Source organism: Homo sapiens, chromosome X (genome assembly GCF_000001405.40).
Source record: "Homo sapiens chromosome X, GRCh38.p14 Primary Assembly".
Classification (NCBI taxonomy): Eukaryota; Metazoa; Chordata; class Mammalia; order Primates; family Hominidae; genus Homo; species Homo sapiens.
The window spans coordinates 62,172,913-62,200,255 of NC_000023.11; the positions used below are offsets into that span (position 1 = coordinate 62,172,913).

A 27,343-nucleotide genomic window follows, 5' to 3' on the forward strand; every position below is an offset into this window, starting at 1 on the left:
GTGATGATTGCATTCAACTCCCAGAGTTGAACATTCCTTTTGATAGAGCAGTTTGCAAACACTCTTTTTGTAGAATCTGCAAGTGGAGATTTGGACCGCTTTGAGGCCTGTGGTAGTGAAGGAAAGAACTTCATATAAAAACCAGACGGTAGCACTCTCAGAAAATTCTTTGTGACGATGGAGTTTAACTCAGGGAGCTGAACATTCGTTATGATGGAGCAGTTTCCAAACACACGTTTTGTAGAATCTGCAAGGGGATATTTGGACCTCTCTGAGGATTTCGCTGGAAACGGGATCAACTTCCCATAACTGAACGGAAGCAAACTCAGAACATTCTTTGTGATGTTTGTATTCAACTCACAGAGTTGAACCTTCCTTTGATAGTTCAGGTTTGCAACACCCTTGTAGTAGAATCTGCAAGTGTATATTTTGACCACTTTGTAGCCTTCGTTTGAAACGTCTATATCTTCACATCAAACCTAGACAGAAGCATTCTCAGAAAGTTTTCTACGATGACTGCATTCAACTCACAGAGTTGAACAATCCTTCTGATGGAGCAGTTTTGAAACCCTCTTTCTTTGGAATCTGCAAGGGGATATGTGGACCTCTTTGAAGATTTCACTGGAAACGGGATCATCTTCACATAAAAACTAAACAGAAGCATTCTCGGAAACTACTTTGTGATGTTTGTATTCAACTCCCAGAGTTGAACTTTCCTTTTGAAAGAGCAGCTATGAAACACTCCTTTTCGAGAATCTGCAAGTGGACGTTTGGAGGGCTTTGAGGCCTGTGGTGGAAAAGGAAATATCTTCACATAAAAACTAGATAGAAGCATTCTCAGAAACGACTTTGTGAGGATGGCATTCAACTCATGGAGTTGAACAATCCTATTGATAGAGCAGATTGGAATCACTCTTTTTGTAGAATCTGCAAATGGAGATTTGGACTGCTTTGAGGCCTACGGTCGTGTATGAAGGAACTTCAGATAAAAGGCAAACGGAAGCATTCTCAGAATATTCTTTGTGATGATGGAGTTTCACTCACAGAGCTGAACATGCCTTTTGATGGAGCAGTTTCCAAATACACTTTTGGTAGAATCTGCAGGTGGATATTTGGAGCTCTCTGAGGATTTCTTTGGAAACGGGAATAATTTCCCATAACTAAACACAAACACTCTGAGAAAGTTCTTCATGATGAATGCATTTAACTCGCAGAGATGAACCTGCCTTTGAGAGTTCAGGTTCGAAACACTCTTTCTGTAGAATCTGCAAGTGGATATTTGGACCACTGGGTGGCCTTCGTTCGAAACGGGTATATGTTCACGTAAAAACTAAAGAGAAGCATTCTCAGAAACTTCTGAGTGATGATTGCATTCAAGTCACACAGTTGAACCCTCCTTTTGATGGAGCAGTTTTGAAACTGTCTTTTTGTAGAATCTGTAAGTGGATGCGTGGACCTCTTTGAAGATTTCTTTGGAAACGGGAATATTTCCACAGAAAAACTAAACTGAAGCATTCTCAGAAACTGCTTTGTGATGTTTGTGTTCGAGCCACAGAGTTTAACATTGCTTTTCATAGAGCAGTTTTGAAATATTCTTTTCGCAGAATCTGCAAGTGGACATTTGGAGCGCTTTCAGGCCTGTGGTGGCAAAGGCCTGAAAGCCTTTTCCTTTATCTTCACAGAAAGACGAGAGAGAAGCATTGTCAGAAACTTCTTTGTGATGATTGCATTCAACTCACAGAGTTGAAGATTCCTTTTGAAACAGCAGTTTCGAAACACTCTTTCTGTGGGATCCGCAAGGGGATATTTGGACCTCTTTGAAGGTTTCGTTGGAAACGGGATAATCTTCACCTAAAAGCTAAACGGAAGCATTCTCAGAAACTTCTTTGGGATGTTTGCATTCACCTCACAGAGTTGAACTTTCCCTTTGATAGCGCAGCTTTGACACACTTTTTCTACAATGTGCAAGTGGCTATTTAGCGGACTTGGAGGACTGTGTTGGAAAAGGAAATATCTTCTCCTAAAAACGACATAGAAGCATTCTCAGAAACTGCTCTGTGATGATTGCATTCAACTCCCAGAGTTGAACATTCCTTTTGATAGAGCAGTTTGCAAACACTCTTTTTGTAGAATCTGCAAGTGGAGATTTGGACCGCTTTGAGGCCTGGGGTAGTGAAGGAAAGAGCTTCATATAAAAACCAGACGGTAGCACTCTCAGAAAATTCTTTGTGACGATGGAGTTTAACTCAGGGAGCTGAACATTCGTTATGATGGAGCAGTTTCCAAACACACGTTTTGTAGAATCTGCAAGGGGATATTTGGACCTCTCTGAGGATTTCGTTGGAAACGGGATCAACTTCCCATAACTGAACGGAAGCAAACTCAGAACATTCTTTGTGATGTTTGTATTCAACTCACAGAGTTGAAACTTCCTTTGATAGTTGAGGTTTGCAACACCCTTGTAGTAGAATCTGCAAGTGTATATTTTGACCACTTTGTAGCCTTCGTTTGAAACGTCTATATCTTCACCTCAAACCTAGACAGAAGCATTCTCAGAAAGTTTTCTGCGATGACTGCATTCAACTCACAGAGTTGAACAATCCTTTTGATGGAGCAGTTTTGAAACCCTCTTTCTTTGGAATCTGCAAGGGGATATGTGGACCTCTTTGAAGATTTCACTGGAAACGGGATCATCTTCACATAAGAACTAAACAGAAGCATTCTCGGAAACTACTTTGTGATGTTTGTATTCAACTCCCAGAGTTGAACTTTCCTTTTGAAAGAGCGGCTATGAAACAATCTTTTTCGAGAATCTGCAAGTGGACGTTTGGAGGGCTTTGAGGCCTGTGGTGGAAAAGGAAATATCTTCACATAAAAACTAGATAGAAGCATTCTCAGAAACGACTTTGTGAGGATGGCATTCAACTCATGGAGTTGAACAATCCTATTGATAGAGCAGATTGGAATCACTCTTTTGGTAGAATCTGCAAATGGAGATTTGAACTGCTTTGAGGCCTACGGTCGTATAGGAAGGAACTTCATATAAAAGGCAAACGGAAGCATTCTCAGAATATTCTTTGTGATGATGGAGTTTCACTCACAGAGCTGAACATGCCTTTTGATGGAGCAGTTTCCAAATACACTTTTGGTAGAATCTGCAGGTGGATATTTGGACCTCTCTGAGGATTTCGTTGGAAATGGGAATAATTTCCCAAACCTAAACACAAACACTCTGAGAAAGTTCTTCATGATGAATGCATTGAACTCGCAGAGATGAACCTGCCTTTGAGAGTTCAGGTTCGAAACACTCTTTCTGTAGAATCTGCAAGTGGATATTTGGACCACTGGGTGGCCTTCGTTCGAAACGCGTATATGTTCACGTAAAAACTAAAGAGAAGCATTCTCAGAACTTCTGAGTGATGATTGCATTCAAGTCACACAGTTGAACCCTCCTTTTGATGGAGCAGTTTTGAAACTGTCTTTTTGTAGAATCTGTAAGTGGATACGTGGACCTCTTTGAAGATTTCTTTGGAAACGGGAATATTTCCACAGAAAAACTAAACTGAAACATTCTCAGAAACCGCTTTGTGATGTTTGTGTTCCAGCCACAGAGTTTAACATTGCTTTTCATAGAGCAGTTTTGAAATATTCTTTTGGCAGAATCTGCAAGTGGACATTTGGAGCGCTTTCAGGCCTGTGGTGGAAAAGGCCTGAAAGCCTTTTCCTTTATCTTCACAGAAAGACGAGAGAGAAGCATTGTCAGAAACTTCTTTGTGATGATTGCATTCAACTCACAGAGTTGAAGATTCCTTTTGAAACAGCAGTTTCGAAACACTCTTTCTGTGGGATCCGCAAGGGGATATTTGGACCTCTTTGAAGGTTTCGTTGGAAACGGGATAATCTTCACCTAAAAGCTAAACGGAAGCATTCTCAGAAACTTCTTTGGGATGTTTGCATTCACCTCACAGAGTTGAACTTTCCCTTTGATAGCGCAGCTTTGACACACTTTTTCTACAATGTGCAAGTGGCTATTTAGCGGGCTTGGAGGACTGTGTTGGAAAAGGAAATATCTTCTCCTAAAAACGACATAGAAGCATTCTCAGAAACTGCTCTGTGATGATTGCATTCAACTCCCAGAGTTGAACATTCCTTTTGATAGAGCAGTTTGCAAACACTCTTTTTGTAGAATCTGCAAGTGGAGATTTGGACCGCTTTGAGGCCTGTGGTAGTGAAGGAAAGAACTTCATATAAAAACCAGACGGTAGCACTCTCAGAAAATTCTTTGTGACGATGGAGTTTAACTCAGGGAGCTGAACATTCGTTATGATGGAGCAGTTTCCAAACACACGTTTTGTAGAATCTGCAAGGGGATATTTGGACCTCTCTGAGGATTTCGTTGGAAACGGGATCAACTTCCCATAACTGAACGGAAGCAAACTCAGAACATTCTTTGTGATGTTTGTATTCAACTCACAGAGTTGAACCTTCCTTTGATAGTTCAGGTTTGCAACACCCTTGTAGTAGAATCTGCAAGTGTATATTTTGACCACTTTGTAGCCTTCGTTTGAACGTCTATATCTTCACATCAAACCTAGACAGAAGCATTCTCAGAAAGTTTTCTGCGATGACTGCATTCAACTCACAGAGTTGAACAATCCTTCTGATGGAGCAGTTTTGAAACCCTCTTTCTTTGGAATCTGCAAGGGGATATGTGGACCTCTTTGAAGATTTCACTGGAAACGGGATCATCTTCACATAAAAACTAAACAGAAGCATTCTCGGAAACTACTTTGTGATGTTTGTATTCAACTCCCAGAGTTGAACTTTCCTTTGGAAAGAGCAGCTATGAAACACTCTTTTTCGAGAATCTGCAAGTGGACGTTTGGAGGGCTTTGAGGCCTGTGGTGGAAAAGGAAATATCTTCACACAAAAACCAGATAGAAGCATTCTCAGAAACTACTTTGTGAGGATGGCATTCAACTCATGGAGTTGAACAATCCTATTGATAGAGCAGATTGGAATCACTCTTTTTATAGTATCTGCAAATGGAGATTTGGACTGCTTTGAGGCCTACGGTAGTACAGGAAGGAACTTCATATAAAAGGCAAACGGAAGCATTCTCAGAATATTCTTTGTGATGATGGAGTTTCACTCACAGAGCTGAACATGCCTTTTGATGGAGCAGTTTCCAAATACACTTTTGGTAGAATCTGCAGGTGGATATTTGGAGCTCTCTGAGGATTTCGTTGGAAACGGGAATAATTTCCCATAACTAAACACAAACACTCTGAGAAAGTTCTTCATGATGAATGCATTTAACTCGCAGAGATGAACCTGTCTTTGAGAGTTCAGGTTCGAAACACTCTTTCTGTAGAATCTGCAAGTGGATATTTGGACCACTGGCTGGCCTTCGTTCGAAACGGGTATAAGTTCACGTAAAAACTAAAGAGAAGCATTCTCAGAAACTTCTGAGTGATGATTGCATTCAAGTCACACAGTTGAACCCTCCTTTTGATGGAGCAGTTTTGAAACTGTCTTTTTGTAGAATCTGTAAGTGGATACGTGGACCTCTTTGAAGATTTCTTTGGAAACGGGAATATTTCCACAGAAAAACTAAACTGAAACATTCTCAGAAACCGCTTTGTGATGTTTGTGTTCCAGCCACAGAGTTTAACATTGCTTTTCATAGAGCAGTTTTGAAATATTCTTTTCGCAGAATCTGCAAGTGGACATTTGGAGCGCTTTCAGGCCTGTGGTGGAAAAGGCCTGAAAGCCTTTTCCTTTATCTTCACAGAAAGACGAGAGAGAAGCATTGTCAGAAACTTCTTTGTGATGATTGCATTCAACTCACAGAGTTGAAGATTCCTTTTGAAACAGCAGTTTCGAAACACTCTTTCTGTGGGATCCGCAAGGGGATATTTGGACCTCTTTGAAGGTTTCGTTGGAAACGGGATAATCTTCACCTAAAAGCTAAACGGAAGCATTCTCAGAAACTTCTTTGGGATGTTTGCATTCACCTCACAGAGTTGAACTTTCCCTTTGATAGCGCAGCTTTGACACACTTTTTCTACAATGTGCAAGTGGCTATTTAGCGGGCTTGGAGGACTGTGTTGGAAAAGGAAATATCTTCTCCTAAAAACGACATAGAAGCATTCTCAGAAACTGCTGTGTGATGATTGCATTCAACTCCCAGGGTTGAACATTCCTTTTGATAGAGCAGTTTGCAAACACTCTTTTTGTAGAATCTGCAAGTGGAGATTTGGACCGCTTTGAGGCCTATGGTAGTAAAGGAAAGAACTTCATATAAAAACCAGACGGTAGCACTCTCAGAAAATTCTTTGTGACGATGGAGTTTAACTCAGGGAGCTGAACATTCGTTATGATGGAGCAGTTTCCAAACACACGTTTTGTAGAATCTGCAAGGGGATATTTGGACCTCTCTGAGGATTTCGTTGGAAACGGGATCAACTTCCCATAACTGAACGGAAGCAAACTCAGAACATTCTTTGTGATGTTTGTATTCAACTCACAGAGTTGAACCTTCCTTTGATAGTTCAGGTTTGCAACACCCTTGTAGTAGAATCTGCAAGTGTATATTTTGACCACTTTGTAGCCTTCGTTTGAAACGTCTATATCTTCACATCAAACCTAGACAGAAGCATTCTCAGAAAGTTTTCTGCGTTGACTGCATTCAACTCACAGAGTTGAACAATCCTTCTGATGGAGCAGTTTTGAAACCCTCTTTCTTTGGAATCTGCAAGGGGATATGTGGACCTCTTTGAAGATTTCACTGGAAACGGGATCATCTTCACATAAAAACTAAACAGAAGCATTCTCGGAAACTACTTTGTGATGTTTGTATTCAACTCCCAGAGTTGAACTTTCCTTTTGAAAGAGCAGCTATGAAACACTCTTTTTCGAGAATCTGCAAGTGGACGTTTGGAAGGCTTTGAGGCCTGTGGTGGAAAAGGAAATATCTTCACATAAAAACTAGATAGAAGCATTCTCAGAAACGACTTTGTGAGGATGGCATTCAACTCATGGAGTTGAACAATCCTATTGATAGAGCAGATTGGAATCACTCTTTTTGTAGAATCTGCAAATGGAGATTTGGACTGCTTTGAGGCCTACGGTAGTACAGGAAGGAACTTCATATAAAAGGCAAACGGAAGCATTCTCAGAATATTCTTTGTGATGATGGAGTTTCACTCACAGAGCTGAACATGCCTTTTGATGGAGCAGTTTCCAAATACACTTTTGGTAGAATCTGCAGGTGGATATTTGGAGCTCTCTGAGGATTTCGTTGGAAACGGGAATAATTTCCCATAACTAAACACAAACACGCTGAGAAAGTTCTTCATGATGAATGCATTTAACTCGCAGAGATGAACCTGCCTTTGAGAGTTCAGGTTCGAAACACTCTTTCTGTAGAATCTGCAAGTGGATATTTGGACCACTGGGTGGCCTTCGTTCGAAACGGGTATATGTTCACGTAAAAACTAAAGAGAAGCATTCTCAGAAACTTCTGAGTGATGATTGCATTCAAGTCACACAGTTGAACCCTCGTTTTGATTGAGCAGTTTTGAAACTGTGTTTTTGTAGAATCTGTAAGTGGATGCGTGGACCTCTTTGAAGATTTCTTTGGAAACGGGAATATTTCCACAGAAAAACTAAACTGAAGCATTCTCAGAAACCGCTTTGTGATGTTTGTGTTCGAGCCGCAGAGTTTAACATTGCTTTTCATAGAGCAGTTTTGAAATATTCTTTTGGCAGAATCTGCAAGTGGACATTTGGAGCGCTTTCAGGCCTGTGGTGGCAAAGGCCTGAAAGCCTTTTCCTTTATCTTCACAGAAAGACGAGAGAGAAGCATTGTCAGAAACTTCTTTGTGATGATTGCATTCAACTCACAGAGTTGAAGATTCCTTTTGAAACAGCAGTTTCGAAACACTCTTTCTGTGGGATCCGCAAGGGGATATTTGGACCTCTTTGAAGGTTTCGTTGGAAACGGGATAATCTTCACCTAAAAGCTAAACGGAAGCATTCTCAGAAACTTCTTTGGGATGTTTGCATTCACCTCACAGAGTTGAACTTTCCCTTTGATAGCGCAGCTTTGACACACTTTTTCTACAATGTGCAAGTGGCTATTTAGCGGGCTTGGAGGACTGTGTTGGAAAAGGAAATATCTTCTCCTAAAAACGACATAGAAGCATTCTCAGAAACTGCTCTGTGATGATTGCATTCAACTCCCAGAGTTGAACATTCCTTTTGATAGAGCAGTTTGCAAACACTCTTTTTGTAGAATCTGGAAGTGGAGATTTGGACCGCTTTGAGGCCTGTGGTAGTGAAGGAAAGAGCTTCATATAAAAACCAGACGGTAGCACTCTCAGAAAATTCTTTGTGACGATGGAGTTTAACTCAGGGAGCTGAACATTCGTTATGATGGAGCAGTTTCCAAACACACGTTTTGTAGAATCTGCAAGGGGATATTTGGACCTCTCTGAGGATTTCGTTGGAAACGGGATCAACTTCCCATAACTGAACGGAAGCAAACTCAGAACATTCTTTGCGATGTTTGTATTCAACTCACAGAGTTGAACCTTCCTTTGATAGTTCAGGTTTGCAACACCCTTGTAGTACAATCTGCAAGTGTATATTTTGACCACTTTGTAGTCTTCGTTTGAAACGTCTATATCTTCACATCAAACCTAGACAGAAGCATTCTCAGAAAGTTTTCTGCGATGACTGCATTCAACTCACAGAGTTGAACAATCCTTCTGATGGAGCAGTTTTGAAACCCTCTTTCTTTGGAATCTGCAAGGGGATATGTGGACCTCTTTGAAGATTTCACTGGAAACGGGATCATCTTCACATAAAAACTAAACAGAAGCATTCAAGGAAACTACTTTGTGATGTTTGTATTCAACTGCCAGAGGTGAACTTTCCTTTTCAAAGAGCAGCTATGAAACACTCTTTTTCGAGAATCTGCAAGTGGACGTTTGGAGGGCTTTGAGGCCTGTGGTGGAAAAGGAAATATCTTCACATAAAAACTAGATAGAAGCATTCTCAGAAACTACTTTGTGAGGATGGCATTCAACTCATGGAGTTGAACAATCCTATTGATAGAGCAGATTGGAATCACTCTTTTTGTAGAATCTGCAAATGGAGATTTGGACTGCTTTGAGGCCTACGGTCGTATAGGAAGGAACTTCATATAAAAGGCAAACGGAAGCATTCTCAGAATATTCTTTGTGATGATGGAGTTTCACTCACAGAGCTGAACATGCCTTTTGATGGAGCAGTTTCCAAATACACTTTTGGTAGAATCTGCAGGTGGATATTTGGAGCTCTTTGAGGATTTCGTTGGAAACGGGAATAATTTCCCAAAACTAAACACAAACACGCTGAGAAAGTTCTTCATGATGAATGCATTTAACTCGCAGAGATGAACCTGCCTTTGAGAGTTCAGGTTCGAAACACTCTTTCTGTATAATCTGCAAGTGGATATTTGGACCACTGGGTGGCCTTCGTTCGAAACGGGTATATGTTCACGTAAAAACTAAAGAGAAAGCATTCTCAGAAACTTCTGAGTGATGATTGCATTCAAGTCACACAGTTGAACCCTCCTTTTGATGGAGCAGTTTTGAAACTGTCTTTTTGTAGAATCTGTAAGTGGATACGTGGACCTCTTTGAAGATTTCTTTGGAAACGGGAATATTTCCACAGAAAAACTAAACTGAAGCATTCTCAGAAACCGCTTTGTGATGTTTGTGTTCGAGCCACAGAGTTTAACATTGCTTTTCATAGAGCAGTTTTGAAATATTCTTTTGGCAGAATCTGCAAGTGGACATTTGGAGCGCTTTCAGGCCTGTGGTGGAAAAGGCCTGAAAGCCTTTTCCTTTACCTTCACAGAAAGACGAGAGAGAAGCATTGTCAGAAACTTCTTTGCGATGATTGCATTCAACTCACAGAGTTGAAGATTCCTTTTGAAACAGCAGTTTCGAAACACTCTTTCTGTGGGATCCGCAAGGGGATATTTGGACCTCTTTGAAGGTTTCGTTGGAAACGGGATAATCTTCACCTAAAAGCTCAACGGAAGCATTCTCAGAAACTTCTTTGGGATGTTTGCATTCACCTCACAGAGTTGAACTTTCCCTTTGATAGCGCAGCTTTGACACACTTTTTCTACAATGTGCAAGTGGCTATTTAGCGGGCTTGGAGGACTGTGTTGGAAAAGGAAATATCTTCTCCTAAAAACGACATAGAAGCATTCTCAGAAACTGCTCTGTGATGATTGCATTCAACTCCCAGAGTTGAACATTCCTTTTGATAGAGCAGTTTGCAAACACTCTTTTTGTAGAATCTGCAAGTGGAGATTTGGACCGCTTTGAGGCCTGTGGTAGTGAAGGAAAGAACTTCATATAAAAACCAGACGGTAGCACTCTCAGAAAATTCTTTGTGACGATGGAGTTTAACTCAGGGAGCTGAACATTCGTTATGATGGAGCAGTTTCCAAACACACGTTTTGTAGAATCTGCAAGGGGATATTTGGACCTCTCTGAGGATTTCGTTGGAAACGGGATCAACTTCCCATAACTGAACGGAAGCAAACTCAGAACATTCTTTGTGATGTTTGTATTCAACTCACAGAGTTGAACCTTCCTTTGATAGTTGAGGTTTGCAACACCCTTGTAGTAGAATCTGCAAGTGTATATTTTGACCACTTTGTAGCCTTCGTTTGAAACGTCTATATCTTCACCTCAAACCTAGACAGAAGCATTCTCAGAAAGTTTTCTGCGATGACTGCATTCAACTCACAGAGTTGAACAATCCTTTTGATGGAGCAGTTTTGAAACCCTCTTTCTTTGGAATCTGCAAGGGGATATGTGGACCTCTTTGAAGATTTCACTGGAAACGGGATCATCTTCACATAAGAACTAAACAGAAGCATTCTCGGAAACTACTTTGTGATGTTTGTATTCAACTCCCAGAGTTGAACTTTCCTTTTGAAAGAGCAGCTATGAAACACTCTTTTTCGAGAATCTGCAAGTGGACGTTTGGAGGGCTTTGAGGCCTGTGGTGGAAAAGGAAATATCTTCACATAAAAACAAGATAGAAGCATTCTCAGAAACGACTTTGTGAGGATGGCATTCAACTCATGGAGTTGAACAATCCTATTGATAGAGCAGATTGGAATCACTCTTTTTGTAGAATCTGCAAATGGAGATTTGGACTGCTTTGAGGCCTACGGTCGTATGGGAAGGAACTTCATATAAAAGGCAAACGGAAGCATTCTCAGAATATTCTTTGTGATGATGGAGTTTCACTCACAGAGCTGAACATGCCTGTTGTTGGAGCAGTTTCCAAATACACTTTTGGTAGAATCTGCAGGTGGACATTTGGACCTCTCTGAGGATTTCGTTGGGAAAAGGAGTAATTTCCCATAACTAAACACAAACACTCTGAGAAAGTTCTTCATGATGAATGCATTTAACTCGCAGAGATGAACCTGCCTTTGAGAGTTCAGGTTCGAAACACTCTTTCTGTAGAATCTGCAAGTGGATATTTGGACCACTGGGTGGCCTTCGTTCGAAACGGGTATATGTTCACGTAAAAACTAAAGAGAAGCATTCTCAGAAACTTCTGAGTGATGATTGCATTCAAGTCACACGGGTTGAACCCTCCTTTTGATTGAGCAGTTTTGAAACTGTCTTTTTGTAGAATCTGTAAGTGGATACGTGGACCTCTTTGAAGATTTCTTTGGAAACGGGAATATTTCCACAGAAAAACTAAACTGAAGCATTCTCAGAAACCGCTTTGTGATGTTTGTGTTCGAGCCACAGAGTTTAACATTGCTTTTCATAGAGCAGTTTTGAAATATTCTTTTCGCAGAATCTGCAAGTGGACATTTGGAGCGCTTTCAGGCCTGTGGTGGAAAAGGCCTGAAAGCCTTTTCCTTTATCTTCACAGAAAGACGAGAGAGAAGCATTGTCAGAAACTTCTTTGTGATGATTGCATTCAACTCACAGAGTTGAAGATTCCTTTTGAAACAGCAGTTTCGAAACACTCTTTCTGTGGGATCCGCAAGGGGATATTTGGACCTCTTTGAAGGTTTCGTTGGAAACGGGATAATCTTCACCTAAAAGCTAAACGGAAGCATTCTCAGAAACTTCTTTGGGATGTTTGCATTCACCTCACAGAGTTGAACTTTCCCTTTGATAGCGCAGCTTTGACACACTTTTTCTACAATGTGCAAGGGGCTATTTAGCGGGCTTGGAGGACTGTGTTGGAAAAGGAAATATCTTCTCCTAAAAACGACATAGAAGCATTCTCAGAAACTGCTCTGTGATGATTGCATTCAACTCCCAGAGTTGAACATTCCTTTTGATAGAGCAGTTTGCAAACACTCTTTTTGTAGAATCTGCAAGTGGAGATTTGGACCGCTTTGAGGCCTGTGGTAGTGAAGGAAAGAACTTCATATAAAAACCAGACGGTAGCACTCTCAGAAAATTCTTTGTGACGATGGAGTTTAACTCAGGGAGCTGAACATTCGTTATGATGGAGCAGTTTCCAAACACACGTTTTGTAGAATCTGCGAGGGGATATTTGGACCTCTCTGAGGATTTCGTTGGAAACGGGATCAACTTCCCATAACTGAACGGAAGCAAACTCAGAACATTCTTTGTGATGTTTGTATTCAACTCACAGAGTTGAACCTTCCTTTGATAGTTCAGGTTTGCAACACCCTTGTAGTAGAATCTGCAAGTGTATATTTTGACCACTTTGTAGCCTTCGTTTGAAACGTCTATATCTTCACATCAAACCTAGACAGAAGCATTCTCAGAAAGTTTTCTGCGATGACAGCATTCAACTCACAGAGTTGAACAATCCTTCTGATGGAGCAGTTTTGAAACCCTCTTTCTTTGGAATCTGCAAGGGGATATGTGGACCTCTTTGAAGATTTCACTGGAAACGGGATCATCTTCACATAAAAACTAAACAGAAGCATTCTCGGAAACTACTTTGTGATGTTTGTATTCAACTCCCAGAGTTGAACTTTCCTTTTGAAAGAGCAGCTATGAAACACTCTTTTTCGAGAATCTGCAAGTGGACGTTTGGAGGGCTTTGAGGCCTGTGGTGGAAAAGGAAATATCTTCACATAAAAACTAGATAGAAGCATTCTCAGAAACGACTTTGTGAGGATGGCATTCAACTCATGGAGTTGAACAATCCTATTGATAGAGCAGATTGGAATCACTCTTTTTGTAGAATCTGCAAATGGAGATTTGGACTGCTTTGAGGCCTACGGTAGTATAGGAAGGAACTTCATATAAAAGGCAAACGGAAGCATTCTCAGAATATTCTTTGTGATGATGGAGTTTCACTCACAGAGCTGAACATGCCTTTTGATGGAGCAGTTTCCAAATACACTTTTGGTAGAATCTGCAGGTGGATATTTGGAGCTCTCTGAGGATTTCGTTGGAAACGGGAATAATTTCCCATAACTAAACACAAACACGCTGAGAAAGTTCTTCATGATGAATGCATTTAACTCGCAGAGATGAACCTGCCTTTGAGAGTTCAGGTTTGAAACACTCTTTCTGTAGAATCTGCAAGTGGATATTTGGACCACTGGCTGGCTTTCGTTCGAAACGGGTATATGTTCACGTAAAAACTAAAGAGAAGCGTTCTCAGAAACTTCTGAGTGATGATTGCATTCAAGTCACACAGTTGAACCCTCCTTTTGATTGAGCAGTTTTGAAACTGTCTTTTTGTAGAATCTGTAAGTGGATGCGTGGACCTCTTTGAAGATTTCTTTGGAAACGGGAATATTTCCACAGAAAAACTAAACTGAAGCATTCTCAGAAACTGCTTTGTGATCTTTGTGTTCGAGCCACAGAGTTTAACATTGCTTTTCATAGAGCAGTTTTGAAATATTCTTTTGGCAGAATCTGCAAGTGGACATTTGGAGCCCTTTCAGGCCTGTGGTGGAAAAGGCCTGAAAGCCTTTTCCTTAATCTTCACAGAAAGACGAGAGAGAAGCATTGTCAGAAACTTCTTTGTGATGATTGCATTCAACTCACAGAGTTGAAGATTCCTTTTGAAACAGCAGTTTCGAAACACTCTTTCTGTGGGGTCCACAAGGGGATATTTGGACCTCTTTGAAGGTTTCGTTGGAAACGGGATAATCTTCACCTAAAAGCTAAACGGAAGCATTCTCAGAAACTTCTTTGGGATGTTTGCATTCACCTCACAGAGTTGAACTTTCCCTTTGATAGCGCAGCTTTGACACACTTTTTCTACAATGTGCAAGTGGCTATTTAGCGGGCTTGGAGGACTGTGTTGGAAAAGGAAATATCTTCTCCTAAAAACGACATAGAAGCATTCTCAGAAACTGCTCTGTGATGATTGCATTCAACTCCCAGAGTTGAACATTCCTTTTGATAGAGCAGTTTGCAAACACTCTTTTTGTAGAATCTGCAAGTGGAGATTTGGACCGCTTTGAGGCCTGTGGTAGTGAAGGAAAGAGCTTCATATAAAAACCAGACGGTAGCACTCTCAGAAAATTCTTTGTGACGATGGAGTTTAACTCAGGGAGCTGAACATTCGTTATGATGGAGCAGTTTCCAAACACACGTTTTGTAGAATCTGCAAGGGGATATTTGGACCTCTCTGAGGATTTCGTTGGAAACGGGATCAACTTCCCATAACTGAACGGAAGCAAACTCAGAACATTCTTTGCGATGTTTGTATTCAACTCACAGAGTTGAACCTTCCTTTGATAGTTAAGGTTTGCAACACCCTTGTAGTAGAATCTGCAAGTGTATATTTTGACCACTTTGTAGCCTTCGTTTGAAACGTCTATATCTTCACATCAAACCTAGACAGAAGCATTCTCAGAAAGTTTTCTGCGATGACTGCATTCAACTCACGGAGTTGAACAATCCTTTTGATGGAGCAGTTTTGAAACCCTCTTTCTTTGGAATCTGCAAGGGGATATGTGGACCTCTTTGAAGATTTCACTGGAAACGGGATCATCTTCACATAAGAACTAAACAGAAGCATTCTCGGAAACTACTTTGTGATGTTTGTATTCAACTCCCAGAGTTGAACTTTCCTTTTGAAAGAGCAGCTATGAAACACTCTTTTTCGAGAATCTGCAAGTGGACGTTTGGAGGGCTTTGAGGCCTGTGGTGGAAAAGGAAATATCTTCACATAAAAACTAGAATAGAAGCATTCTCAGAAACGACTTTGTGAGGATGGCATTCAACTCATGGAGTTGAACAATCCTATTGATAGAGCAGATTGGAATCACTCTTTTTGTAGAATCTGCAAATGGAGATTTGCACTGCTTTGAGGCCTACGGTCGTATAGGAAGGAACTTCATATAAAAGGCAAACGGAAGCATTCTCAGAATATTCTTTGTGATGATGGAGCTTCACTGACAGAGCTGAACATGCCTTTTGATGGAGCAGTTTCCAAATACACTTTTGGTAGAATCTGCAGGTGGATATTTGGAGCTCTCTGAGGATTTCGTTGGAAACGGGAATAATTTCCCATAACTAAACACAAACACTCTGAGAAAGTTCTTCATGATGAATGCATTTAACTCGCAGAGATGAACCTGCCTTTGAGAGTTCAGGTTCGAAACACTCTTTCTGTATAATCTGCAAGTGGATATTTGGACCACTGGGTGGCTTCGTTCGAAACGGGTATATGTTCACGTAAAAACTAAAGAGAAAGCATTCTCAGAAACTTCTGAGTGATGATTGCATTCAAGTCACACAGTTGAACCCTCCTTTTGATGGAGCAGTTTTGAAACTGTCTTTTTGTAGAATCTGTAAGTGGATACGTGGACCTCTTTGAAGATTTCTTTGGAAACGGGAATATTTCCACAGAAAAACTAAACTGAAACATTCTCAGAAACCGCTTTGTGATGTTTGTGTTCCAGCCACAGAGTTTAACATTGCTTTTCATAGAGCAGTTTTGAAATATTCTTTTGGCAGAATCTGCAAGTGGACATTTGGAGCGCTTTCAGGCCTGTGGTGGAAAAGGCCTGAAAGCCTTTTCCTTTATCTTCACAGAAAGACGAGAGAGAAGCATTGTCAGAAACTTCTTTGTGATGATTGCATTCAACTCACAGAGTTGAAGATTCCTTTTGAAACAGCAGTTTCGAAACACTCTTTCTGTGGGATCCGCAAGGGGATATTTGCACCTCTTTGAAGGTTTCGTTGGAAACGGGATAATCTTCACCTAAAAGCTAAACGGAAGCATTCACAGAAACTTCTTTGGGATGTTTGCATTCACCTCACAGAGTTGAACTTTCCCTTTGATAGCGCAGCTTCGACACACTTTTTCTACAATCTGCAAGTGGATATTTAGCGGGCTTGGAGCACTGTGTTGGAAAAGGAAATATCTTCTCCTAAAAACGACATAGAAGCATTCTCAGAAACTGCTCTGTGATGATTGCATTCAACTCCCAGAGTTGAACATTCCTTTTGATAGAGCAGTTTGCAAACACTCTTTTTGTAGAATCTGCAAGTGGAGATTTGGACCGCTTTGAGGCCTGTGGTAGTGAAGGAAAGAGCTTCATATAAAAACCAGACGGTAGCACTCTCAGAAAATTCTTTGTGACGATGGAGTTTAACTCAGAGAGCTGAACATCCGTTATGATGGAGCAGTTTCCAAACACACGTTTTGTAGAATCTGCAAGGGGATATTTGGACCTCTCTGAGGATTTCGTTGGAAACGGGATCAACTTCCCATAACTGAACGGAAGCAAACTCAGAACATTCTTTGTGATGTTTGTATTCAACTCACAGAGTTGAACCTTCCTTTGATAGTTCAGGTTTGCAACACCCTTGTAGTAGAATCTGCAAGTGTATATTTTGACCACTTTGTAGCCTTCGTTTGAAACGTCTATATCTTCACATCAAACCTAGACAGAAGCATTCTCAGAAAGTTTGCTGTGATGACTGCATTCAACTCACAGAGTTGAACAATCCTTTTGATGGAGCAGTTTTGAAACCATCTTTCTTTGGAATCTGCAAGGGGATATGTGGACCTCTTTGAAGAATTCACTGGAAACGGGATCATCTTCACATAAAAACTAAACAGAAGATTCTCGGAAACTACTTTGTGATGTTTGTATTCAACTCCCAGAGTTGAACTTTCCTTTTGAAAGAGCAGCTATGAAACACTCTTTTTCGAGAATCTGCAAGTGGACATTTGGAGGGCTTTGAGGCCTGTGGTGGAAAAGGAAATATCTTCACATAAAAACTAGATAGAAGCATTCTCAGAAACGACTTTGTGAGGATGGCATTCAACTCATGGAGCTGAACAATCCTATTGATAGAGCAGATTGGAATCACTCTTTTTGTAGAATCTGCAAATGGAGATTTGGACTGCTTTGAGGCCTACGGTAGTATAGGAAGGAACTTCATATAAAAGGCAAACGGAAGCATTCTCAGAATATTCTTTGTGATGATGGAGTTTCACTCACAGAGCTGAACATGCCTTTTGATGGAGCAGTTTCCAAATACACTTTTGGTAGAATCTGCAGGTGGATATTTGGAGCTCTCTGAGGATTTCGTTGGAAAAGGGAATAATTTCCCATAACTAAACACAAACACTCTGAGAAAGTTCTTCATGATGAATGCATTTAACTCGCAGAGATGAACCTGCCTTTGAGAGTTCAGGTTCGAAACACTCTTTCTGTAGAATCTGCAAGTGGATATTTGGACCACTGGCTGGCCTTCGTTCGAAACGGGTATATGTTCACGTAAAAACTAAAGAGAAGCATTCTCAGAAACTTGTGAGTGATGATTGCATTCAAGTCACACAGTTGAACCCTCCTTTTGATGGAGCAGTTTTGAAACTGTCTTTTTGTAGATTCTGTAAGTGGATACGTGGACCTCTTTGAAGATTTCTTTGGAAACGGGAATATTTCCACAGAAAAACTAAACTGAAGCATTCTCAGAAACCGCTTTGTGATGTTTGTGTTCGAGCCACAGAGTTTAACATTGCTTTTCATAGAGCAGTTTTGAAATATTCTTTTCGCAGAATCTGCAAGTGGACATTTGGAGCGCTTTCAGGCCTGTGGTGGAAAAGGCCTGAAAGCCTTTTCCTTTATCTTCACAGAAAGACGAGAGAGAAGCATTGTCAGAAACTTCTTTGTGATGATTGCATTCAACTCACAGAGTTGAAGATTCCTTTTGAAACAGCAGTTTCGAAACACTCTTTCTGTGGGATCCGCAGGGGGATATTTGGACCTCTTTGAAGATTTCGTTGGAAACGGGATAATCTTCACCTAAAAGCTAAACGGAAGTATTCTCAGAAACTTCTTTGGGATGTTTGCATTCACCTCACAGAGTTGAACTTTCCCTTTGATAGCGCAGCTTCGACACACTTTTTCTACAATGTGCAAGTGGATATTTAGCGGGCTTGGAGGACTGTGTTGGAAAAGGAAATATCTTCTCCTAAAAACGACATAGAAGCATTCTCAGAAACTGCTCTGTGATGATTGCATTCAACTCCCAGAGTTGAACATTCCTTTTGATAGAGCAGTTTGCAAACACTCTTTTTGTAGAATCTGCAAGTGGAGATTTGGACCGCTTTGAGGCCTGTGGTAGTGAAGGAAAGAACTTCATATAAAAACCAGACGGTAGCACTCTCAGAAAATTCTTTGTGACGATGGAGTTTAACTCAGGGAGCTGAACATTCGTTATGATGGAGCAGTTTCCAAACACACGTTTTGTAGAATCTGCGAGGGGATATTTGGACCTCTCTGAGGATTTCTTTGGAAACGGGATCAACTTCCCATAACTGAACGGAAGCAAACTCAGAACATTCTTTGTGATGTTTGTATTCAATTCACAGAGTTGAACCTTCCTTTGATAGTTCAGGTTTGCAACACCCTTGTAGTAGAATCTGCAAGTGTATATTTTGACCACTTTGTAGCCTTCGTTTGAAACGTCTATATCTTCACATCAAACCTAGACAGAAGCATTCTCAGAAAGTTTTCTGCGATGACTGCATTCAACTCACAGAGTTGAACAATCCTTTTGATGGAGCAGTTTTGAAACCCTCTTTCTTTGGAATCTGCAAGGGGATATGTGGACCTCTTTGAAGATTTCACTGGAAACGGGATCATCTTCACATAAGAACTAAACAGAAGCATTCTCGGAAACTACTTTGTGATGTTTGTATTCAACTCCCAGAGTTGAACTTTCCTTTTGAAAGAGCAGCTATGAAACACTCTTTTTTGAGAATCTGCAAGCGGACGTTTGGAGGGCTTTGAGGCCTGTGGTGGAAAAGGAAATATCTTCACATTAAAACTAGATAGAAGCATTCTCAGAAACGACTTTGTGAGGATGGCATTCAACTCATGGAGTTGAACAATCCTATTGATAGAGCAGATTGGAATCAGTCTTTTTGTAGAATCTGCAAATGGAGATTTGGACTGCTTTGTGGCCTATGGTAGTATAGGAAGGAACTTCATATAAAAGGCAAACGGAAGCATTCTCAGCAATATTCTTTGTGATGATGGAGTTTCACTCACAGAGCTGAACATGCCTTTTGATGGAGCAGTTTCCAAATACACTTTTGGTAGAATCTGCAGGTGGATATTTGGAGCTCTCTGAGGATTTCGTTGGAAACGGGAATAATTTCCCATAACTAAACACAAACACGCTGAGAAAGTTCTTCATGATGAATGCATTGAACTCGCAGAGATGAACCTGCCTTTGAGAGTTCAGGTTCGAAACACTCTTTCTGTAGAATCTGCAAGTGGATATTTGGACCACTGGCTGGCCTTCGTTCGAAACGGGTATATGTTCACGTAAAAACTAAAGAGAAGCGTTCTCAGAAACTTCTGAGTGATGATTGCATTCAAGTCACACAGTTGAACCCTCCTTTTGATTGAGCAGTTTTGAAACTGTCTTTTTGTAGAATCTGTAAGTGGATGCGTGGACCTCTTTGAAGATTTCTTTGGAAACGGGAATATTTCCACAGAAAAACTAAACTGAAGCATTCTCAGAAACTGCTTTGTGATGTTTGTGTTCGAGCCACAGAGTTTAACATTGCTTTTCATAGAGCAGTTTTGAAATATTCTTTTGGCAGAATCTGCAAGTGGACATTTGGAGCGCTTTCAGGCCTGCGATGGAAAAGGCCTGAAAGCCTTTTCCTTTATCTTCACAGAAAGACGAGAGAGAAGCATTGTCAGAAACTTCTTTGTGATGATTGCATTCAACTCACAGAGTTGAAGATTCCTTTTGAAACAGCAGTTTCGAAACACTCTTTCTGTGGGATCCGCAAGGGGATATTTGGACCTCTTTGAAGATTTCGTTGGAAACGGGATAATCTTCACCTGAAAGCTAAACGGAAGCATTCTCAGAAACTTCTTTGGGATGTTTGCATTCACCTCACAGAGTTGAACTTTCCCTTTGATAGCGCAGCTTCGACACACTTTTTCTATAATGTGCAAGTGGATATTTAGCGGGCTTGGAGGACTGTGTTGGAAAAGGAAATATCTTCTCCTAAAAACGACATAGAAGCATTCTCAGAAACTGCTCTGTGATGATTGCATTCAACTCCCAGAGTTGAACATTCCTTTTGATAGAGCAGTTTGCAAACACTCTTTTTGTAGAATCTGCAAGTGGAGATTTGGACCGCTTTGAGGCCTGTGGTAGTGAAGGAAAGAACTTCATATAAAAACCAGACGGTAGCACTCTCAGAAAATTCTTTGTGACGATGGAGTTTAACTCAGAGAGCTGAACATTCGTTATGATGGAGCAGTTTCCAAACACACGTTTTGTAGAATCTGCAAGGGGATATTTGGTCCTCTCTGAGGATTTCGTTGGGAACGGGATCAACTTCCCATAACTGAACGGAAGCAAACTCAGAACATTCTTTGTGATGTTTGTATTCAACTCACAGAGTTGAACCTTCCTTTGATAGTTCAGGTTTGCAACACCCTTGTAGTAGAATCTGCAAGTGTATATTTTGACCACTTTGTAGCCTTCGTTTGAAACGTCTATATCTTCACCTCAAACCTAGACAGAAGCATTCTCAGAAAGTTTTCTGCGATGACTGCATTCAACTCACAGAGTTGAACAATCCTTCTGATGGAGCAGTTTTGAAACCCTCTTTCTTTGGAATCTGCAAGGGGATATGTGGACCTCTTTGAAGATTTCACTGGAAACGGGATCATCTTCACATAAAAACTAAACAGAAGCATTCTCGGAAACTACTTTGTGATGTTTGTATTCAACTCCCAGAGTTGAACTTTCCTTTTGAAAGAGCAGCTATGAAACACTCTTTTTCGAGAATCTGCAAGTGGACGTTTGGAGGGCTTTGAGGCCTGTGGTGGAAAAGGAAATATCTTCACACAAACACCAGATAGAAGCATTCTCATAAACTGCTTTGTGAGGATGGCATTCAACTCATGGAGTTCAACAATCCTATTGATAGAGCAGATTGGAATCACTCTTTTTGTAGAATCTGCAAATGGAGATTTGGACTGCTTTGAGGCCTACGGTAGTACAGGAAGGAACTTCATATAAAAGGCAAACGGAAGCATTCTCAGAATGTTCTTTGTGATGATGGAGTTTCACTCACAGAGCTGAACATGCCTGTTGATGGAGCAGTTTCCAAATACACTTTTGGTAGAATCTGCAGGTGGATATTTGGAGCTCTCTGAGGATTTCATTGGAAACGGGAATAATTTCCCATAACTAAACACAAACACTCTGAGAAAGTTCTTCATGATGAATGCATTTAACTCGCAGAGATGAACCTGCCTTTGAGAGTTCAGGTTCGAAACACTCTTTCTGTAGAATCTGCAAGTGGATATTTGGACCACTGGCTGGCCTTCGTTCGAAACGGGTATATGTTCACGTAAAAACTAAAGAGAAGCGTTCTCAGAAACTTCTGAGTGATGATTGCTTTCAAGTCACACAGTTGAACCCTCCTTTTGATTGAGCAGTTTTGAAACTGTCTTTTTGTAGAATCTGTAAGTGGATGCGTGGACCTCTTTGAAGATTTCTTTGGAAACGGGAATATTTCCACAGAAAAACTAAACTGAAGCATTCTCAGAAACTGCTTTGTGATGTTTGTGTTCGAGCCGCAGAGTTTAACATTGCTTTTCATAGAGCAGTTTTGAAATATTCTTTTGGCAGAATCTGCAAGTGGACATTTGGAGCGCTTTCAGGCCTGTGATGGAAAAGACCTGAAAGCCTTTTCCTATATCTTCACAGAAAGACGAGAGAGAAGCATTGTCAGAAACTTCTTTGTGATGATTGCATTCAACTCACAGAGTTGAAGATTCCTTTTGAAACAGCAGTTTCGAAACACTCTTTCTGTGGGATCCGCAAGGGGATATTTGGACCTCTTTGAAGGTTTCGTTGGAAACGGGATAATCTTCACCTAAAAGCTAAACGGAAGCATTCTCAGAAACTTCTTTGGGATGTTTGCATTCACCTCACAGAGTTGAACTTTCCCTTTGATAGCGCAGCTTTGACACACTTTTTCTACAATGTGCAAGTGGCTATTTAGCGGGCTTGGAGGACTGTGTTGGAAAAGGAAATATCTTCTCCTAAAAACGACATAGAAGCATTCTCAGAAACTGCTCTGTGATGATTGCATTCAACTCCCAGAGTTGAACATTCCTTTTGATAGAGCAATTTGCAAACACTCTTTTTGTAGAATCTGCAAGTGGAGATTTGGACCGCTTTGAGGCCTGTGGTAGTAAAGGAAAGAACTTCATATAAAAAGTAGACGGTAGCACTCTCAGAAAATTCTTTGTGACGATGGAGTTTAACTCAGGGAGCTGAACATTCGTTATGATGGAGCAGTTTCCAAACACACGTTTTGTAGAATCTGCAAGGGGATATGTGGACCTCTCTGAGGATTTCGTTGGAAACGGGATCAACTTCCCATAACTGAACGGAAGCAAACTCAGAACATTTTTTGTGATGTTTGTATTCAACTCACAGAGTTGAACCTTCCTTTGATAGTTCAGGTTTGCAACACCCTTGTAGTAGAATCTGCAAGTGTATATTTTGACCACTTTGTAGCCTTCGTTTGAAACGTCTATATCTTCACATCAAACCTAGACAGAAGCATTCTCAGAAAGTTTTCTGCGATGACTGCATTCAACTCACAGAGTTGAACAATCCTTCTGATGGAGCAGTTTTGAAACCCTCTTTCTTTGGAATCTGCAAGGGGATATGTGGACCTCTTTGAAGATTTCACTGGAAACGGGATCATCTTCACATAAAAACTAAACAGAAGCATTCTCGGAAACTACTTTGTGATGTTTGTATTCAACTCCCAGAGTTGAACTTTCCTTTTGAAAGAGCAGCTATGAAACACTCTTTTTCGAGAATCTGCAAGTGGACGTTTGGAGGGCTTTGAGGCCTGTGGTGGAAAAGGAAATATCTTCACATAAAAACTAGATAGAAGCATTCTCAGAAACTACTTTGTGAGGATGGCATTCAACTCATGGAGTTGAACAATCCTATTGATAGAGCAGATTGGAATCACTCTTTTTGTAGAATCTGCAAATGGAGATTTGGACTGCTTTGAGGCCTACGGTAGTATAGGAAGGAACTTCATATAAAAGGCAAACGGAAGCATTCTCAGAATATTCTTTGTGATGACGGAGTTTCACTCACAGAGCTGAACATGCCTTTTCATGGAGCAGTTTCCAAATACACTTTTGGTACAATCTGCAGGTGGATATTTGGAGCTCTCTGAGGATTTCGTTGGAAACGGGAATAATTTCCCATAACTAAACACAAACACTCTGAGAAAGTTCTTCATGATGAATGCATTTAACTCGCAGAGATGAACCTGCCTTTGAGAGTTCAGGTTCGAAACACTCTTTCTGTAGAATCTGCAAGTGGATATTTGGACCACTGGCTGGCCTTCGTTCGAAACGGGTATATGTTCACGTAAAAACTAAAGAGAAGCATTCTCAGAAACTTCTGAGTGATGATTGCATTCAAGTCACACAGTTGAACCTTCCTTTTGATGGAGCAGTTTTGAAACTGTCTTTTTGTAGAATCTGTAAGTGGATACTTGGACCTCTTTGAAGATTTCTTTGGAAACGGGAATATTTCCACAGAAAAACTAAACTGAAGCATTCTCAGAAACCGCTTTGTGATGTTTGTGTTCGAGCCACAGAGTTTAACATTGCTTTTCATAGAGCAGTTTTGAAATATTCTTTTGGCAGAATCTGCAAGTGGACATTTGGAGCGCTTTCAGGCCTGTGGTGGAAAAGGCCTGAAAGCCTTTTCCTTTATCTTCACAGAAAGACGAGAGAGAAGCATTGTCAGAAACTTCTTTGTGATGATTGCATTCAACTCACAGAGTTGAAGATTCCTTTTGAAACAGCAGTTTCAAAACACTCTTTCTGTGGGATCCGCAAGGGGATATTTGGACCTCTTTGAAGGTTTCGTTGGAAACGGGATAATCTTCACCTAAAAGCTAAACGGAAGCATTCTCAGAAACTTCTTTGGGATGTTTGCATTCACCTCACAGAGTTGAACTTTCCCTTTGATAGCGCAGCTTCGACACACTTTTTCTAAAGTGTGCAAGTGGACCTTTAGCGGGCTTGGAGGACTGTGTTGGAAAAGGAAATATCTTCTCCTAAAAACGACATAGAAGCATTCTCAGAAACTGCTCTGTGATGATTGCATTCAACTCCCAGAGTTGAACATTCCTTTTGATAGAGCAGTTTGCAAACACTGTTTTTGTAGAATCTGCAAGTGGAGATTTGGACCGCTTTGAGGCCTGTGGTAGTAAAGGAAAGAACTTCATATAAAAACCAGACGGTAGCACTCTCAGTAAAATTCTTTGTGACGATAGAGTTTAACTCAGAGAGCTGAACATTCGTTATGATGGAGCAGTTTCCAAACACACATTTTGTAGAATCTGCAAAGGGATATTTGGACCTCTCTGAGGATTTCGTTGGAAATGGGATCAACTTCCCATAACTGAACGGAAGCAAACTCAGAACATTCTTTGTGATGTTTGTATTCAACTCACAGAGTTGAACCTTCCTTTGATAGTTCAGGTTTGCAACACCCTTGTAGTAGAATCTGCAAGTGTATATTTTGACCACTTTGTAGCCTTCGTTTGAAACATCTATATCTTCACATCAAACCTAGACAGAAGCATTCTCAGAAAGTTTTCTGCGATGACTGCATTCAACTCACAGAGTTGAACAATCCTTCTGATGGAGCAGTTTTGAAACCCTCTTTCTTTGGAATCTGCAAGGGGATATGTGGACCTCTTTGAAGATTTCACTGGAAACGGGATCATCTTCACATAAAAACTAAACAGAAAGCATTCTCGGAAACTACTTTGTGATGTTTGTATTCAACTCCCAGAGTTGAACTTTCCTTTTGAAAGAGCAGCTATGAAACACTCTTTTTCGAGAATCTGAAAGTGGACGTTTGGAGGGCTTTGAGGCCTGTGGTGGAAAAGGAAATATCTTCACATAAAAACTAGATAGAAGCATTCTCAGAAACTACTTTGTGAGGATGGCATTCAACTCATGGAGTTGAACAATCCTATTGATAGAGCAGATTGGAATCACTCTTTTTGTAGAATCTGCAAATGGAGATTTGGACTGCTTTGAGGCCTACGGTAGTACAGGAAGGAACTTCATATAAAAGGCAAACGGAAGCATTCTCAGAATATTCTTTGTGATGATGGAGTTTCACTCACAGAGCTGAACATGCCTTTTGATGGAGCAGTTTCCAAATACACTTTTGGTAGAATCTGCAGGTGGACATTTGGACCACTCTGAGGATTTCGTTGGAAACGGGAATAATTTCCCATAACTAAACACAAACACTCTGAGAAAGTTCTTCATGATGAATGCATTTAACTCGCAGAGATGAACCTGCCTTTGAGAGTTCAGGTTCGAAACACTCTTTCTGTAGAATCTGCAAGTGGATATTTGGACCACTGGGTGGCCTTCGTTCGAAACGGGTATATGTTCACGTAAAAACTAAAGAGAAGCATTCTCAGAAACTTCTGAGTGATGATTGCATTCAAGTCACACAGTTGAACCCTCCTTTTGATGGAGCAGTTTTGAAACTGTCTTTTTGTAGAATCTGTAAGTGGATACGTGGACCTCTTTGAAGATTTCTTTGGAAACGGGAATATTTCCACAGAAAAACTAAACTGAAGCATTCTCAGAAACCGCTTTGTGATGTTTGTGTTCGAGCCACAGAGTTTAACATTGCTTTTCATAGAGCAGTTTTGAAATATTCTTTTGGCAGAATCTGCAAGTGGACATTTGGAGCGCTTTCAGGCCTGTGGGTGGAAAAGGCCTGAAAGCCTTTTCCTTTACCTTCACAGAAAGACGAGAGAGAAGCATTGTCAGAAACTTCTTTGTGATGATTGCATTCAACTCACAGAGTTGAAGATTCCTTTTGAAACAGCAGTTTCGAAACACTCTTTCTGTGGGATCCGCAAGGGGATATTTGGACCTCTTTGAAGGTTTCGTTGGAAACGGGATAATCTTCACCTAAAAGCTAAACGGAAGCATTCTCAGAAACTTCTTTGGGATGTTTGCATTCACCTCACAGAGTTGAACTTTCCCTTTGATAGCGCAGCTTTGACACACTTTTTCTACAATGTGCAAGTGGCTATTTAGCGGGCTTGGAGGACTGTGTTGGAAAAGGAAATATCTTCTCCTAAAAACGACATAGAAGCATTCTCAGAAACTGCTCTGTGATGATTGCATTCAACTCCCAGAGTTGAACATTCCTTTTGATAGAGCAGTTTGCAAACACTCTTTTTGTAGAATCTGCAAGTGGAGATTTGGACCGCTTTGAGGCCTGTGGTAGTGAAGGAAAGAACTTCATATAAAAACCAGACGGTAGCACTCTCAGAAAATTCTTTGTGACGATGGAGTTTAACTCAGGGAGCTGAACATTCGTTATGATGGAGCAGTTTCCAAACACACGTTTTGTAGAATCTGCAAGGGGATATTTGGACCTCTCTGAGGATTTCGTTGGAAACGGGATCAACTTCCCATAACTGAACGGAAGCAAACTCAGAACATTCTTTATGATGTTTGAATTCAACTCACAGAGTTGAACCTTCCTTTGATAGTTCAGGTTTGCAACACCCTTGTAGTAGAATCTGCAAGTGTATATTTTGACCACTTTGTAGCATTCGTTTGAAACGTCTATATCTTCACATCAAACCTAGACAGAACCATTCTCAGAAAGTTTTCTGCGATGACTGCATTCAACTCACAGAGGTGAACAATCCTTTTGATGGAGCAGTTTTGAAACCCTCTTTCTTTGGAATCTGCAAGGGGATA

At 40.7% G+C, this 27,343-nt stretch overlaps 1 annotated feature.

Annotated features, from left to right (window-relative positions):
• Positions 1 to 27,343: part of a centromere (Linear centromere model derived predominantly from reads generated in PMID: 17803354. This region does not represent an actual centromere sequence, as long-range ordering of repeats and unmapped WGS contigs is not provided by the model. For details of model production, see http://arxiv.org/abs/1307.0035.) that runs on past both edges of the window.